The sequence below is a fragment of the Homo sapiens genome, chromosome 17 (assembly GCF_000001405.40).
Source record: "Homo sapiens chromosome 17, GRCh38.p14 Primary Assembly".
Classification (NCBI taxonomy): Eukaryota; Metazoa; Chordata; class Mammalia; order Primates; family Hominidae; genus Homo; species Homo sapiens.
The window spans coordinates 10,201,827-10,214,574 of record NC_000017.11 but is presented as its reverse complement, the minus strand read 5'-3'; the positions used below and the strand labels follow the sequence as shown (position 1 = coordinate 10,214,574).

The 12,748-nt window shown below is 44.6% G+C and overlaps 3 annotated features.

Annotated features, from left to right (window-relative positions):
- Positions 2,902 to 3,620: an enhancer, noted in NCBI's record as "H3K27ac-H3K4me1 hESC enhancer chr17:10114272-10114990 (GRCh37/hg19 assembly coordinates)". NCBI's record gives its function as "activates a minimal SCP1, AML or CMV promoter by ChIP-STARR-seq in primed H9 embryonic stem cells {active_cell/tissue: H9 hESC(primed)}" and the evidence as "EXISTENCE:reporter gene assay evidence [ECO:0000049][PMID:30033119]".
- Positions 3,621 to 4,340: an enhancer, noted in NCBI's record as "H3K27ac-H3K4me1 hESC enhancer chr17:10113552-10114271 (GRCh37/hg19 assembly coordinates)". NCBI's record gives its function as "activates a minimal SCP1, AML or CMV promoter by ChIP-STARR-seq in naive and primed H9 embryonic stem cells {active_cell/tissue: H9 hESC(naive and primed)}" and the evidence as "EXISTENCE:reporter gene assay evidence [ECO:0000049][PMID:30033119]".
- Positions 8,273 to 9,472: an enhancer, noted in NCBI's record as "MED14-independent group 3 enhancer chr17:10108420-10109619 (GRCh37/hg19 assembly coordinates)". NCBI's record gives its function as "activates an origin of replication core promoter dependent on BRD2, BRD4, P300/CBP and CDK7 cofactors, and independent of MED14, by STARR-seq in HCT116 cells {active_cell/tissue: HCT116}" and the evidence as "EXISTENCE:reporter gene assay evidence [ECO:0000049][PMID:35650434]".

Sequence of the window (12,748 nt, the reverse complement as noted above, 5' to 3'; positions counted from 1 at the left end):
GTGACCAATATTAACAGCCATCTCATTTCATTTTAGTTAGAAAATGAGTTGTTCTACACAAATGAATTTGTCCAAGAATCAAAACTGTTCCTTTCACTTATGTTTGTAATACATGATCAGCAATAACTAGCAATAATTTCTCCAGTAGCAGCTTTTCTTCAGAATTATTTCCATCCCCAGTTTACCCCTAATTCCTGAAGTTCTGCCCAGGGCAAATGGTTGCTCACAAGTCAGGGTTATTATTATTTTTTTTTTTGAGACGAAGTTTCACTCTTGTTGCCCAGGCTGGAGTGCAATGGCGCGATCTTTGCTCACCACAACCTCCACCTCCCAGGTTCAAGTGATTCTCCTGCCTCAGCCTCTCCCAAGTAGCTGGGATCACAGGCGTGTGCCACCATGCCTGGCTAATTTTGTATTTTTAGTAGAGATGGGGTTTCTCCATGTTGGTCAGGGTGGTCTCAAACTCTCGACCTCAGGTGATCTGCCCGCCTCAGCCTCTCAAAGTGCTGGGATTACAGACATGAGCCACCATGCCTGGCCAGGGTTATTCTTTTAGTGAGTGCCTTAAAGAATATATGCTGAGATTTCTAGGGTGGCTGCAGTGAGGAGGCCAGTAGGAAGCACCTAATATGCACAAATTTATAGGAAGCCATTGGTTTGCACTAGCTCCTGTACCAGGCCCAACAGACCAAACCAAAATGGAGTCACTCATGCTAAAGTTCCACGCTACCAAACAGAAGCTAAGTTGTTTATCTGACCTTTTGAGAAACCGGGAGAGAGAGAGATAATCCCCTAAACAGGCCAGTTTTAGCTGGCATGATAAACAAGAGCCCTTGGCTTTAATCTTTATTTATTTTTTTGGAGGCAGGGCCTCACTCTGTTGTGCAGGTTGGAATGCAGTGGCACCATCAGGGCTCACTGCAACCTCACACTCCTGGGCTCAAGCGATCCTCCTGCCTTAGTCTCCTGAGCAGCTGGGACCACAGGCGTGAACCAGCACACCCAGCTAATTTCAAAAAAAAAAGTTGTAGAGACGCGGTCTCACTGTGTTGCCCAGGCTGGTCTGGAGCTCCGGCCTTCAAGTGATCCTCCAGCCTCGGCCTTCCAAAGTGCTAGGAGTTACAGGTGTGAGCCACTGCACCTGGCCTAACCTTTAACTTTTTTTTTTTTTTTTTTTTTTTTTTAGATGGAGTCTCCCTCTGCCACCCAGGCTAGAGTGAGTGCACTGGCAAGATCTCAGCTCACCGCAACCTCCACCTCCCAGCTTCAAGTGATTCTCCTGCCTCAGCTTCCTGAGTAGTTGGGATTATAGGCATGTGCCACCACGCCCAGCTAATTTTTGTATTTTTTAATAGAGATGGGGTTTCGCTATGTTGGCCAGGCTGGTCTGGAACTCCTGGCCTCAAGTGATCCACCTTCCTCGGCCTCCCTAAGTGCTGGGATTACAGGTAGTGAGCCACCGTGCCCGGTCTTTTAACTTTGAAATAGCAGTCCACATTTTGTTTCTGCTTTCCCCAGCTCTTTTCTGAATATAAAACCAACCTCCTCTGCTCAGCTCGTGGGAACACTCATTCTGTTTTACAGAAGGAAGTGGTGCCCAATTCTAGAATCACAAATAAAAACCAATTAAGATCTTTAAGCTAAATTTGTTGTGCTTGTGTCTTTGGACACTTACAAACACTTGAAATAACTTGAAATCCTTTAACCACTATGGGTGAAGATTATTCAAGAAAGTATTACACACTGCCTTGACTGTTAAAATGGAATGATTGAGGGTCATTGTCATTCTTATAGTACTTTATATTTGCATAATGTTTATATTTGAAGAGTAGCGCTCCGTCTTTTAATGAATATTGATTACCAACATCTTAAAGGGCTCTTGATGGTTGCTAAATAGTTCTGGTTTAGACACCTTTTGTTTTCTTGAGTCTTTTAAAATGATTCTCTCTGATCCCTATCCCCACCCCTCATTGCCAGTGTCAATCTGTTGTCAGCTGGTGCTCCTTCCTGCTGTCGATATCTTCTTCCATACATTATTGTCAGAGGCGTTTGAACCAGAGCAACTCCATCTTGAATAGGGGCTGGGTAAAATAAGGCTAAGACCTATTGGGCTGCATTCCAAGGATGTTAGGCTTTCCTTTTTTTTTTTTTTTTTTTGAGATGGAGTCTTGCTCTGTTGCCCAGGCTGGAGTGCAATGGCAAGATCTCAGCTCACCGCAACCTCCGCCTCCCGGGTTCACGCCATTCTCCTGCCTCAGCCTCCTGAGTAGCTGGGACTACAGGTGCCCACCACCATGCCCGGCTAATTTTTTGTATTTTTAGTAGAGACAGGGTTTCACTGTGTTAGCCAGGATGGTCTCGATCTCCTGACCTTGTGATCCGCCCGCCTCGGCCTCCCAAAGTGCTGGGATTACAGGCATGAGCCACCGCACCCAGCCAAGGACTTTAGGCACTCTAAGTCACAGGATGAGATGGGAGGTCGCCACAAGATACAGGTCATAAAGACCTTGCTGATAAAATAGGCTGTGGTAAAGGAGCTGGCCGAAACCCACCAAAACCAAGGTGGCGATGAAAGTGACCTCTAGTGGTCCTTCCTGCTCATTATACACAAATTATAATGCATTAGCATGCTACGGGACACTCCCACCAGCGCCATGACGGTTTACAAATGCCATGGCAACATCAGGAAGTTACTCTATATGGTTTAAAAAGGGGAAGAACCCTCAGTTCTGGCAATTGCCCACCCCTTTCCCAGAAAACTCATGAATAATCCACCCTTTGTTTAGCATGTAATCGAGTAATACTATAAGTATCCTTAGTCGAGCAGCCCAAGCCGCTGCTCTGCCTATGGAGTAGCCATTCTTTATTTCTTTTTTAATAAACTTACTTTCACTTTACTCTATGGGCTAATCATGAACTCTTTCTTGCTTGAGGTCCAAGAACCTTCTCTTGGGGTCTGGATTGAGACCCCTTTCCGGTAACATTATTATCTGAAAAATGCTAGATTAAAAAGATCTGTTGTTAGAATTGTTTGAAAACTGTGAGTGGATAGGCTCTAACTGAGATTCTGATGGTCTTTCAGAGGAGTAGGTATATGGAGTAAGCTAAGATGCATATATTTCCTTTTTTTTTCTATTTCCCAGGCTGGAGTGCAGTGGCAAAATCTCGGCTCACTACAACCTCAAACCCCTGAGCTCAAGCGGTCCTCCTGCCTGAGCCTCCCGAGTAGCTGGCACTATAGACACACACTATCATGCCCGAGTAATTTTTAATTTTTTGTAGAGAGATGCGGTCTCACTAGGTTGCCTAAGCTGGTCTTGAACTGCTGAACTCAAGCAATCCTCCTGCCTCAGCCTCCCAAAGTGCTAGGATTATAGGCATGAGCCGCCACGCTTGGCCTTCCTTTTTTTTATTATGAAAAATTTCAAACCTATAAACAAGTAGAGAAGATAGTCTCATGAACCCCATTTCCCTACTGCTCCCTTCAACAATGAACAACATGATACACACTTTTCACCTTGTTTATTCAAAATTCCTTTTGCTCAGTCGTCACTGAATTCTGGATTTTTTTTTTTTTCTTAGACGGAGTCTCCCTCTGTCGCCCAGTCTAGAATGGAATGGTGTGATCTTGGCTCACTGCAACCTCTGCCTCCTGGATTCAGTGATTCTCCTGCCTCAGCCTCCTGAGTAGCTGGGATTATAAGCACATGCCATCACGTCTGGCTAATTTTTGTATTTTTAGTAGAAACGGGATTTCACCATGTCGGCCAGGCTGGTCTTGAATTCCCGACCTCAGGTGATCCACCCGCCTCAGCCTCCCAAAGTCCTGGGATGACAGGCGTGAGCCACTGCGCCCGGCCGAATTCCAGATTGTTGAAGCATCTGGATATTGGCCTCTGGGAATGCCAGGCTTCCCTGTGTTATTATTTTAACTCTGACTGCCCAGAGAGGCCCCAGCCATGTGCCCTTTCATTTCCAAGATGGTTCTCATGAAGCCCTTTCTGCCCAGTGTCCAGGCTGCCCCACAGGTCCCCATGAACTCGTTCCTGCTTCTCAGCCTCTGACCTTCAGGTGACCGTGGGAAGGGCTTGGGAAATCCTCCTTTGTCTGACAGGGAGATCCTGCTGGGGAAGTCCACAGGTATGTAAATGTGCGTTCTATTACCTCATCCAGGTTGTACCCAGAGGCTCTGGAAGGAATTTTTATGAGTCTACAGTGTAAATAAGCATTCCCTCTACCTCCCTACTCCCTGTGATACCAGGCCTGGAAGTTTCCACAGAACATGCTGGCTTCTGAATACATCAAGTCAAGTTTCTTCTGGTCTGAAGCCAGTTCTCTGCAGAAGGCATGCTGTACATTCCCCACAGCTGGACTCTCGGCCAACCACATCCCCCAGACGGCTTTCTGCAATCTTTTCCACGGCCTAATGAAATAGGTCCCCCCATCCCTGTCCTGCAGATGAGGAAATTGAGGTTTACAGAGGTGAAACCCCTTTTCTTAGGTGTGTAATTACCAAGCAAAACAGTTGGGACTCGGATGAGCCTAATCATTGGAGTCTTCATTAATAAATGGAGAACTAATTATAGTCATTGAAGACACTGTTCCTTTTCTGTTGTGATTAATTCCGAATTTATTTTTATCTTCAAAAGAATGAAGACTCGTGCCGGGGATTTGTTCTGAGAAAGAAATGTGCTATTCCTGACAGTCTTCCTTGGCCAGCCCCTTTGTCCACAAAAAAGCCAAGAACCCGTGGCCAGGTCATTCCTGTGCGTTTTGTTTGTTTCTGAAGCTCAAGATTCCCCAGGGATTTATGTCAGCCTAAGCTACTTTTTTTTTTGATGGAGTATTGCTCTGTCACCCAAGCTGGAGTGCAGTGGCGCGATCTCGGCTCACTGCAACCTCCGCCTCCCAGGTTCACGCCATTCTCCTGCCTCAGCCTCCTAAGTAGCTGGGACTACAGGTGCCCGCCACCACACCTGGCTAATTTTTTTGTATTTTTAGTAGAGACAGGGTTTCACTGTGTTAGCCAGGATGGTCTCGATCTCCTGACCTCGTGATCTGCCCGCCTCGGCCTCCCAAAGTGCTGGGATTACAGGTGTGAGCCACCGTGCCCGGCAACCTAAGCTGCTTTTAATGCGCACTGGAGAACCATTTCTACACAATAGAGGGACACCACCTACAAATGAAAACCTCAGTTTCTGCCACAACGCTGGGGAAATTAGGATCTGGCTTGTCTTCGGGGCAAGAGAAGCAGACTGGGTGTGTAATCAAGGGTAGTTCTGCGTGCGTGCCTGCATGTGTGTGTGTGTGTGTGTGTGTGTGTGTGTGTGTTTCAAGAATGAAGGGACCGTGTGGCCCTGGGCAAAGGAGCCACAAGGAGGGATAACACTGAGCCAGGGAGGGACAGCAATTTTCGTAAACTTCTTTTCTAAGCTTTTCTTAGACAGCCCACCCTTCTTTGGGTGGATTTTTCCAAGCTTCAGATATGTTAATAGCGACATCACATCGGAGTTGGGTCCTGGCCCTGGAGACTTTCTGCCTTTCTGTCTCTTTCTGTGGCTTTGCATATCTCTGCTCAGCCTCGCTCCTCCGTGGATATTTTACTGTTATTTACTCCCAAAGGGCAATCTCATTTCCATATTTCTGTGCTGCTGTTAGGGAACAGTGAGGATGGGGCTGGAACTCCTTTCCACACCCACCAAGCAATAGCAGTGAAAAAGCAGACTTCAGTTTGTGTTATTTCTGGTCACACAACTTATTTCTTCCCTTCTTCTTTTCTCTTGCTTCATGCTGCTTCTGCAAATGAAACCTTTAGCTTACACCAGGGAAGCTGTGTTTGTGAGGGAGTGGGTGGAGATCTTGGAAGACCTGGGAGAAGGCTGGGCTTTGTTTTCTCTTTCTTCTCCACGCTCCCACCTCCTTCCCCTCTCTCGCCCCTTTCCCTTCTCTTTTCTATCCTACTCTTCTTTTCTTATTCTATATTCTCTGTCTCCTGTTCCCCAAATTGTTTCTTTCCTCTTTGATCTATTACTGTTTTCTGTCTGCCTCTAGCTTTGCTTCCTCTTCCCTTCTCTTTTTTTTCTTTACCTTTTTTTTTTTTTGTTTGAGACAGAGTCTCTGTCACCCAGGCTGGAGTGTAGTGGTGCGATCTCAGCTCATTGCAAGCTCTGCTTCCCAGGTTCAAGCGATTCTCGTATCTCAGCCACCCAAGTAGCTAGAATTACAGGCGTGTGGCACACAGCCAGCTACTTTTTGTACTTTTTAGCAGAGAAGGGGTTTTGCCATGTTGGCCAGGCTGGGCTTGATCTCCTGGCCTCAAGTGATCCACCTGCCTCCAGCCTCCCAAAGTGCTGGGATTACTGCTTTGAGCCACTGCACCCAGCCTCCTTCCCCCCTTTTTAAACATTGGTGGGCCTGGCCAAACAAGATGCCAACGTAAACCCTTCTTATAAATGAAGACACTCTAGGCCAGGCGCGGCGGCTCACACCTGTAATCCCAGCACTTTGGGAGGCGAGGTGGGTGGATCAAGAGGTCAAGAGATCGAGACCATCCTGGGCAACATGGTGAATCTCCATCTCTACTAAAAATCCAAAAAGTAGCTGGGCATGGTGGCGGGCGCCTGTAGTCCCAGCTACTCGGGAGGCTGAGGCAGGAGAATTGCTTGAACCTGGGAGGCGGAGGTTGCAGTGAGCCGAGATGGCGCCACTGCACTCCATCCTGGGCAACAGGGCGAGACTCCATCTCAATAAATAAATAAACAAATACACTCTGAGAGTACGAATAATACCTGAAAATAAAACCCCCCCTTGTCCTTTGAGATAGGATCTTGCTCTGTCATCCAGGCTGGAGTGCTCTGCTACAATTGCAGCTCCTAATTTTTGTATTTTTGTAGAGATGAGGTTCACCATGTTTCCTAGGCTGGGCTCAAACTACAGGGCTCAAGTGATCTGCCGGCCTTGGCCTCCCAAAGTGCTGGGATTACAGGTGTGAGCCACTGCACTCGGCCCAACAACCTTTGAAATACAGTCTGAAAACCCCACAGTACTCTGGGGATTTTGTTGAAAACACAGATTCCCGGGTCCCATCCCAGACCCACTAATCTCTGGGAAGGTGGCCTAAAAATAGGCATCCTTTCTAACATGTTTCTCCAGTGATCCTTATACATGTTTAAGTTTCAGAATCTTTGGCTGGAACTCTGGCTGAGATTCTGGATGAGAAAATCAAGGAAGGGATGGATAGAACTCTTCACACTTCCTCTTCCATGGAGGCCCAACGCCAGGTTTCTTCCGGACTGCAAGGGGAGAACTGGACCCATTTATTTCTCTGAAGTCATGATTCCAAAATGCTTATTTTCAGTATATTAACTTTCTTTCCCTTCCCAGTATCTTCTTGAAACCGATTCTCAAGATCACTGAGAAGTACATAAAACTTCCATTATGGTGCAGGAAGACAATATTAGAACAGCTATTTGAATATTACATCTACTTCAATATAACCTTTTTAAATTTTTAATTCTATGATAATATGCTTATTAGTTTAGTGGTTCATCTATTTAATTCATAGATAAGAGAAGTAGATATCTCCGGGAGTTTTACTGATAGGGGTGTAGAGTCAAAAAAGTTTGGAAAGCATCTCTGTAGAATTTAGACTACAAATTCTTTGAGATTAGAATACCATTGTGATTATTATTTTTTTTTTGAGAGAGAGATGAAGTCTTGCTCTGTCACCCAGGCTGGAGTGCAGTGGCATGATCTCAGCTCACTGTAACCTCCACCTCCCAGGTTCAAGTGATTCTCCTGCCTCAGCTTCCCAAGTAGCTGGGATTACAGGTGCCCGCCACCATCCCCAGCTAATTTTTGTATTTTTTTAGTAGAGACGGGGTTTCACTATATATTAGCCAGGCTGGTCTCAAACTCCTGACCTCAGGTGATCCACCCACCTTGACCTCCCAAAGTACTGAGATTACAAGCGTGAGCCTCCGCACCCAGCCAGAATACTATTACTATTATTATTATTATTATACTTCAAGTTTTAGGGTACATGTGCACAATGTGCAGGTTAGTTACATATGTATACATGTGCCATGCTGGTGTGCTGCACCCATTAACTCGTCATTTAGCATTAGGTATATCTCCTAATGCTATCCCTCCCCCCTCCCCCCAATACTATTATTTTTTAACAAACCATATTGAAAAATAGCATCCACACAGAGAAGCGCACAAATTAGTATACAGACTGGAGAACAGCTCATGTAACTAGCAAGAGGATCAAGGAATAGATTATTATCAGCAACCTAGACACCCCTGTGCCGTCACTACCTTTCCCCAAAATAACTCCTCTCCTGACTTCTAGGAATGTCATATAAATGGAATTGTTACAGTCTCGCCAATGCACCCAATGTAGCATTGGTGTACCTTGGTGTTGCCCAAGGTATCACCTGAAGTTCTTTGTCTCATGACCAAGAAAATTAAGGAGCATAGACACCAAGGGTGAGGTTGGAGCAAAAGTTTAATAAGTGAAAGGAGAAAGCTCTCCATTGCAGAGAGGGGGCCTGAAAGAGGGTTGCCGTTTCACAGTTGAATACAGAGGCTTTTATAAGAAACCAGTGAGGGCTGGGCTTCTCATTTGTATAAGGTGTGAATTTCTGGTAGCTCCACCTCATCCTCCTAGTGCACATGGGGCTCCTTAGCTTGAATTACTCCACATTGCTTTGTTCCTCTTACTGCGCATGTGTCAGGGGGTGGAATTTTCCATTGTGGGCATGTCTGGGCAAGTCCCCTGTGTAGCCTTTCTTATCTATGTGGCTGTTGGCATGTCTTAGGCAAGCCACCCTGTGCAAGTTCCCTAATCTGTGCCTGCAGTTTGATTTTTCAGGCTGTTGTTTTGTTTGAAATAATTTTACCAAGGACCCACCCTAACTGCCTGCCTGACTGGTTTCTTCCTTCCTCCTCTCTCAGAATCATGATGTCTCTGCTCTTTAGTGTTTGGCTGCTTTTGCTCTTTGCTCCACATTACATCTATGGGATTCACTTATATGTAGCAATAGTTTGTTTATTCTCTCTCTTTTTTTTTTTTTTTTTTGAGATAGGGTCTTACTGTGTCACCCAGGCAGGAGTACAGTGGTGTGATCTCAGCTCACTGTAGCCTCGACCTCCTAGGCTCAAGCGATCCTCCCACCTCAGCCTCTTGAGTAGCTGGGACTACAGGTACATGCCATCATGCCTGGCTAAATTATTTTATTTTATTTTATTTTTAGTAAAGATGAGGCCTCACTGTGTTGACCAGGCTGGTCTCAAGCTCCTGGTGTCAAGAGATCCCCCCACCTCAGCCTCCCGGTATTCTAGGATTACAGAGGTGAGCCATTGTACCAAGCCTGTTTATTCTAAGTGTAGAGTTTTCCATTGTATAAATATGTCATGATTTATCAATTCTAGTTTGATGGATATTGGGTTGTTTCCAGTTTGGGGCTGTTATAAATAGTGCTGCTATGAACATTGTTATACATCTTCTGTTGGACATATCAACGTATCTTAGTTGGTTATATGCCTAGAAGGGGATTAGATGAGTTATGGAGAACACTCAATTCCACTGTGCTAAATACTGCCAATTTTCCAACAGGCTCTCACCAGCAGTGTATGACAGCTCCGGGTGTAGCACAGCCTCTCCAATATGTGGTATTTTCTGTTCTGTTTTTATCTTCATCACTTCTGAGTGTATATTGATACCTTCTTATGATTTAATCAAAATCAAAGAAAAGCAAATCATGCTTTCTTGATGATTAATGATGTCGTGCATCTTTTAATATGACCAATAGGTCATTTGGATATCTTCTTTTGTGAAATGCCTGTTCAAGTTCTTTGCCCATTTTTCTGTTGGGTTGTCTATGTTTTCTTTATTGATCTATAGGAATTGTTTTCTTTTAAAACCTATTTTTCTTTTTTTTTTTTTTAGAGACAGGGTCTTGCTGTGACACTCAGGTTGGAGTGCAGTGGCACAATCATAGCTTTCCTAGGCTCAAATGATCTTCTTGTTTCAGCCTCCCTAGTAGCTGGGACTACAAGCACATGCCCCCATGTCCAGCAAATTTTTTATAGAGATGGGGTCTCACTATGTTGCCCAGGCTGGACTTGAGCTCCTGGCTTCAAGTGATCCTCGAACCTCAGCCTTCCAAAGCTTTGGAATTACAGGCATGAGCCACCATGCTCAGCCAGTATTCTTTATATAGCTGTCATAGTTATCTCTCTATCCCTAGGCCCAGCACACTGTCCATTTTCTAATATGTGTTTAACACCTCTTCGAGCTGTTGTTGAATGAAATAGCACACATGAGTTGAAAAAGATAACTCTTGTTGGGTGATGAAGATCATTATGAATTTTGATTTTTGCTCAACACTAACAATTTTTTGAGGTATAATTTATATGCCCCGAATTTTACTTGTTTTATGTGTACAGTTTCGTGACTTACTGTGTTGTGTGATCATTACCACAAACTAATTTTAGAACATTTACATCGCCTCAGAGAAACCTTGTGTTTGTTTCTTTCTTCCTTGTTTGCAGCTCCAACTCCAGGTGACCACTAATTTTTAAATTGTGTCTATGGATTTGCCTTTTCTGGACGTTGCATATAAATGGAATCATATAATACATTGCCTTTTGTGTCTGGCTTCTTTCACTTAGCACAATGTCTTTGAGGTTCATCCATGTTGTAGCGTGAATCAATATCTCCTTCTCATGGCTGAGTAAATATTCCATTGTATTGGCATACTACATCTTGTCTATCTATTCACCAGCTGATGGACATTTAGATTATTTCCACTGTTTGACTTCTGTGAATAATACTGCTATGAACATTCACTACAAGTTTTGTGTGGACATATGTTTTCATTTCTCTTAGGTAGATGCCTCGGAATAAATTGCTGGGTCATTAGGTAAATTTATATTTAACTTGCTTTTTCTTCCTTTTTCTTTTTTTTAGACAGGGGCTTGCACTGCTGCCCAGGCTGGAGTGCAGTTGTGTGGTCATGGCTCACTGCAGCCTCGATCTCCTAGGCTCAAGTGATCCTCCCACCTCAGCCTCCTGAGTAGCTGGGACCACAGGGATATGTCACCACGTCCTGTGGCTAAATTATTTTATTTATTTTCTATTTTATTTTATTTTTTGTAGAGACAGGGGTCTTACTATGTTGTCTGGGCTGGTCCTAAACTCTTGGCCTCAAGGGAACCCACAGCCTCAGCCTCTCAAAGCATTGGGATTACAGGTATGAGCGACCACGCCTGGCTATGTTTAACGTTGTAAAGAAATGGAAACCTTTCCATTTCTCTGCCATCCATAGGCTGATAGAAAGGTGTATAAGGTTGTCTTGGGTAGAAATGAAATACCAGCCACCACATAACTAACAAATGCACAGTGTCTAGAGAAAGCTCTGACACAGGTTTATACAACAACTTAGCAAGTAGAAAATCTAAATATGAACAGGGTCCAAACAATCTATGCAAAAGATCAAGAAGTACTGAATGCCTGCTTTTTGTATGAGTCAACGTTAGGCTTTAAGAAGGATAGATAGGCTAGGCATGGTGGCTCATGCCTGTAATCCCAGCACTTTGGTAGGCAGAGGTGGGTGGATCACCTGAGGTTAGGAGTTCGAGACCAGCCTGGCCAACAGGGCGAAACCCCATCTCTACTAAAAATACAACATTAGCCGGGCGTGGAGGCGCATGCCTGTAATCCCAGCCACTCAGGAGGCTGAGGCAGGAGAATCACTTGAACTTCGGAGGTGGAGGTTGCAGTGAGCCAAAATCATGCCATTGCACTGCAGCCTGGGTGACAAGAGTAAAACTCAGTCTAAAAAAAAAAAAGATAGATGGAAATTTAAAACAAAGATGCTATCCCTCTCCTGAGTTACTAACAGTCTAACCAGTAAAATAAGACTTAATAATAATTATTATTTTTTTAAAAAGCAAAAGTAGGCTAGGTGTGGTGGCTCACGCCTGTAATCTCAGCACTTTGGGAGGCCGAGGCGGGCAGATCACGAGGTCAGGAGATTGACACCTGCCTGGCTAACACGGTGAGACCCCGTCTCTACTAAAAATACAAAAAATTAGCCGGGCGTGGTGGCAGGCGCCTGTAGTCCCAGCTACTTGGGAGGCTGAGGCGGGAGAATGGCATGAACCCAGGAGGCGGAGCTTGCAGTGAGCCGAGATAGTGCCACTGCAGTCCAGCCTGGCTACAGAGCGAGACTCCATCTCAAAAAAAAAAAAAAAAAAAAAGCAAAAATAAATTAGCCAGGCATGGTGGTGTGCACCTGTAGTCCCAGCTAGCTTCTCTGGAGGCTGAGGTGGGAGGATGGCTTGAGACGCGAGGCAGAGGATGCAGTGAGCCAAGATCACACCATTGCACTCCAGTCTGGGCAATACAGCCAGATCTTGTCTCAATTTAAAAAAAAAAAAAGCAAAAATAATTAAAGATTTAAATACAATTTCAAGATAGTAATATAAATCAGAGAGGGAGAAGGCAGGAGGGAAAATTGATAAGGGAGGAATTTATCTTTCCTTCAAGATCCTGGGAGAAAACAGAAAGCCAAAGTGTGTTTCTACAAAATTTGTGGCATCCCAAAGATGTAAGAGTTCCTCCTTCTATTGTTGCTCTAGAAATCTTAGTTAAAAAAGAAGTGTTACGTAATAAATCACCAGGACCCTTGAACTGGATAGATAAAAACAATCGCTAACATAGGGGCATTTAATGTGCCAG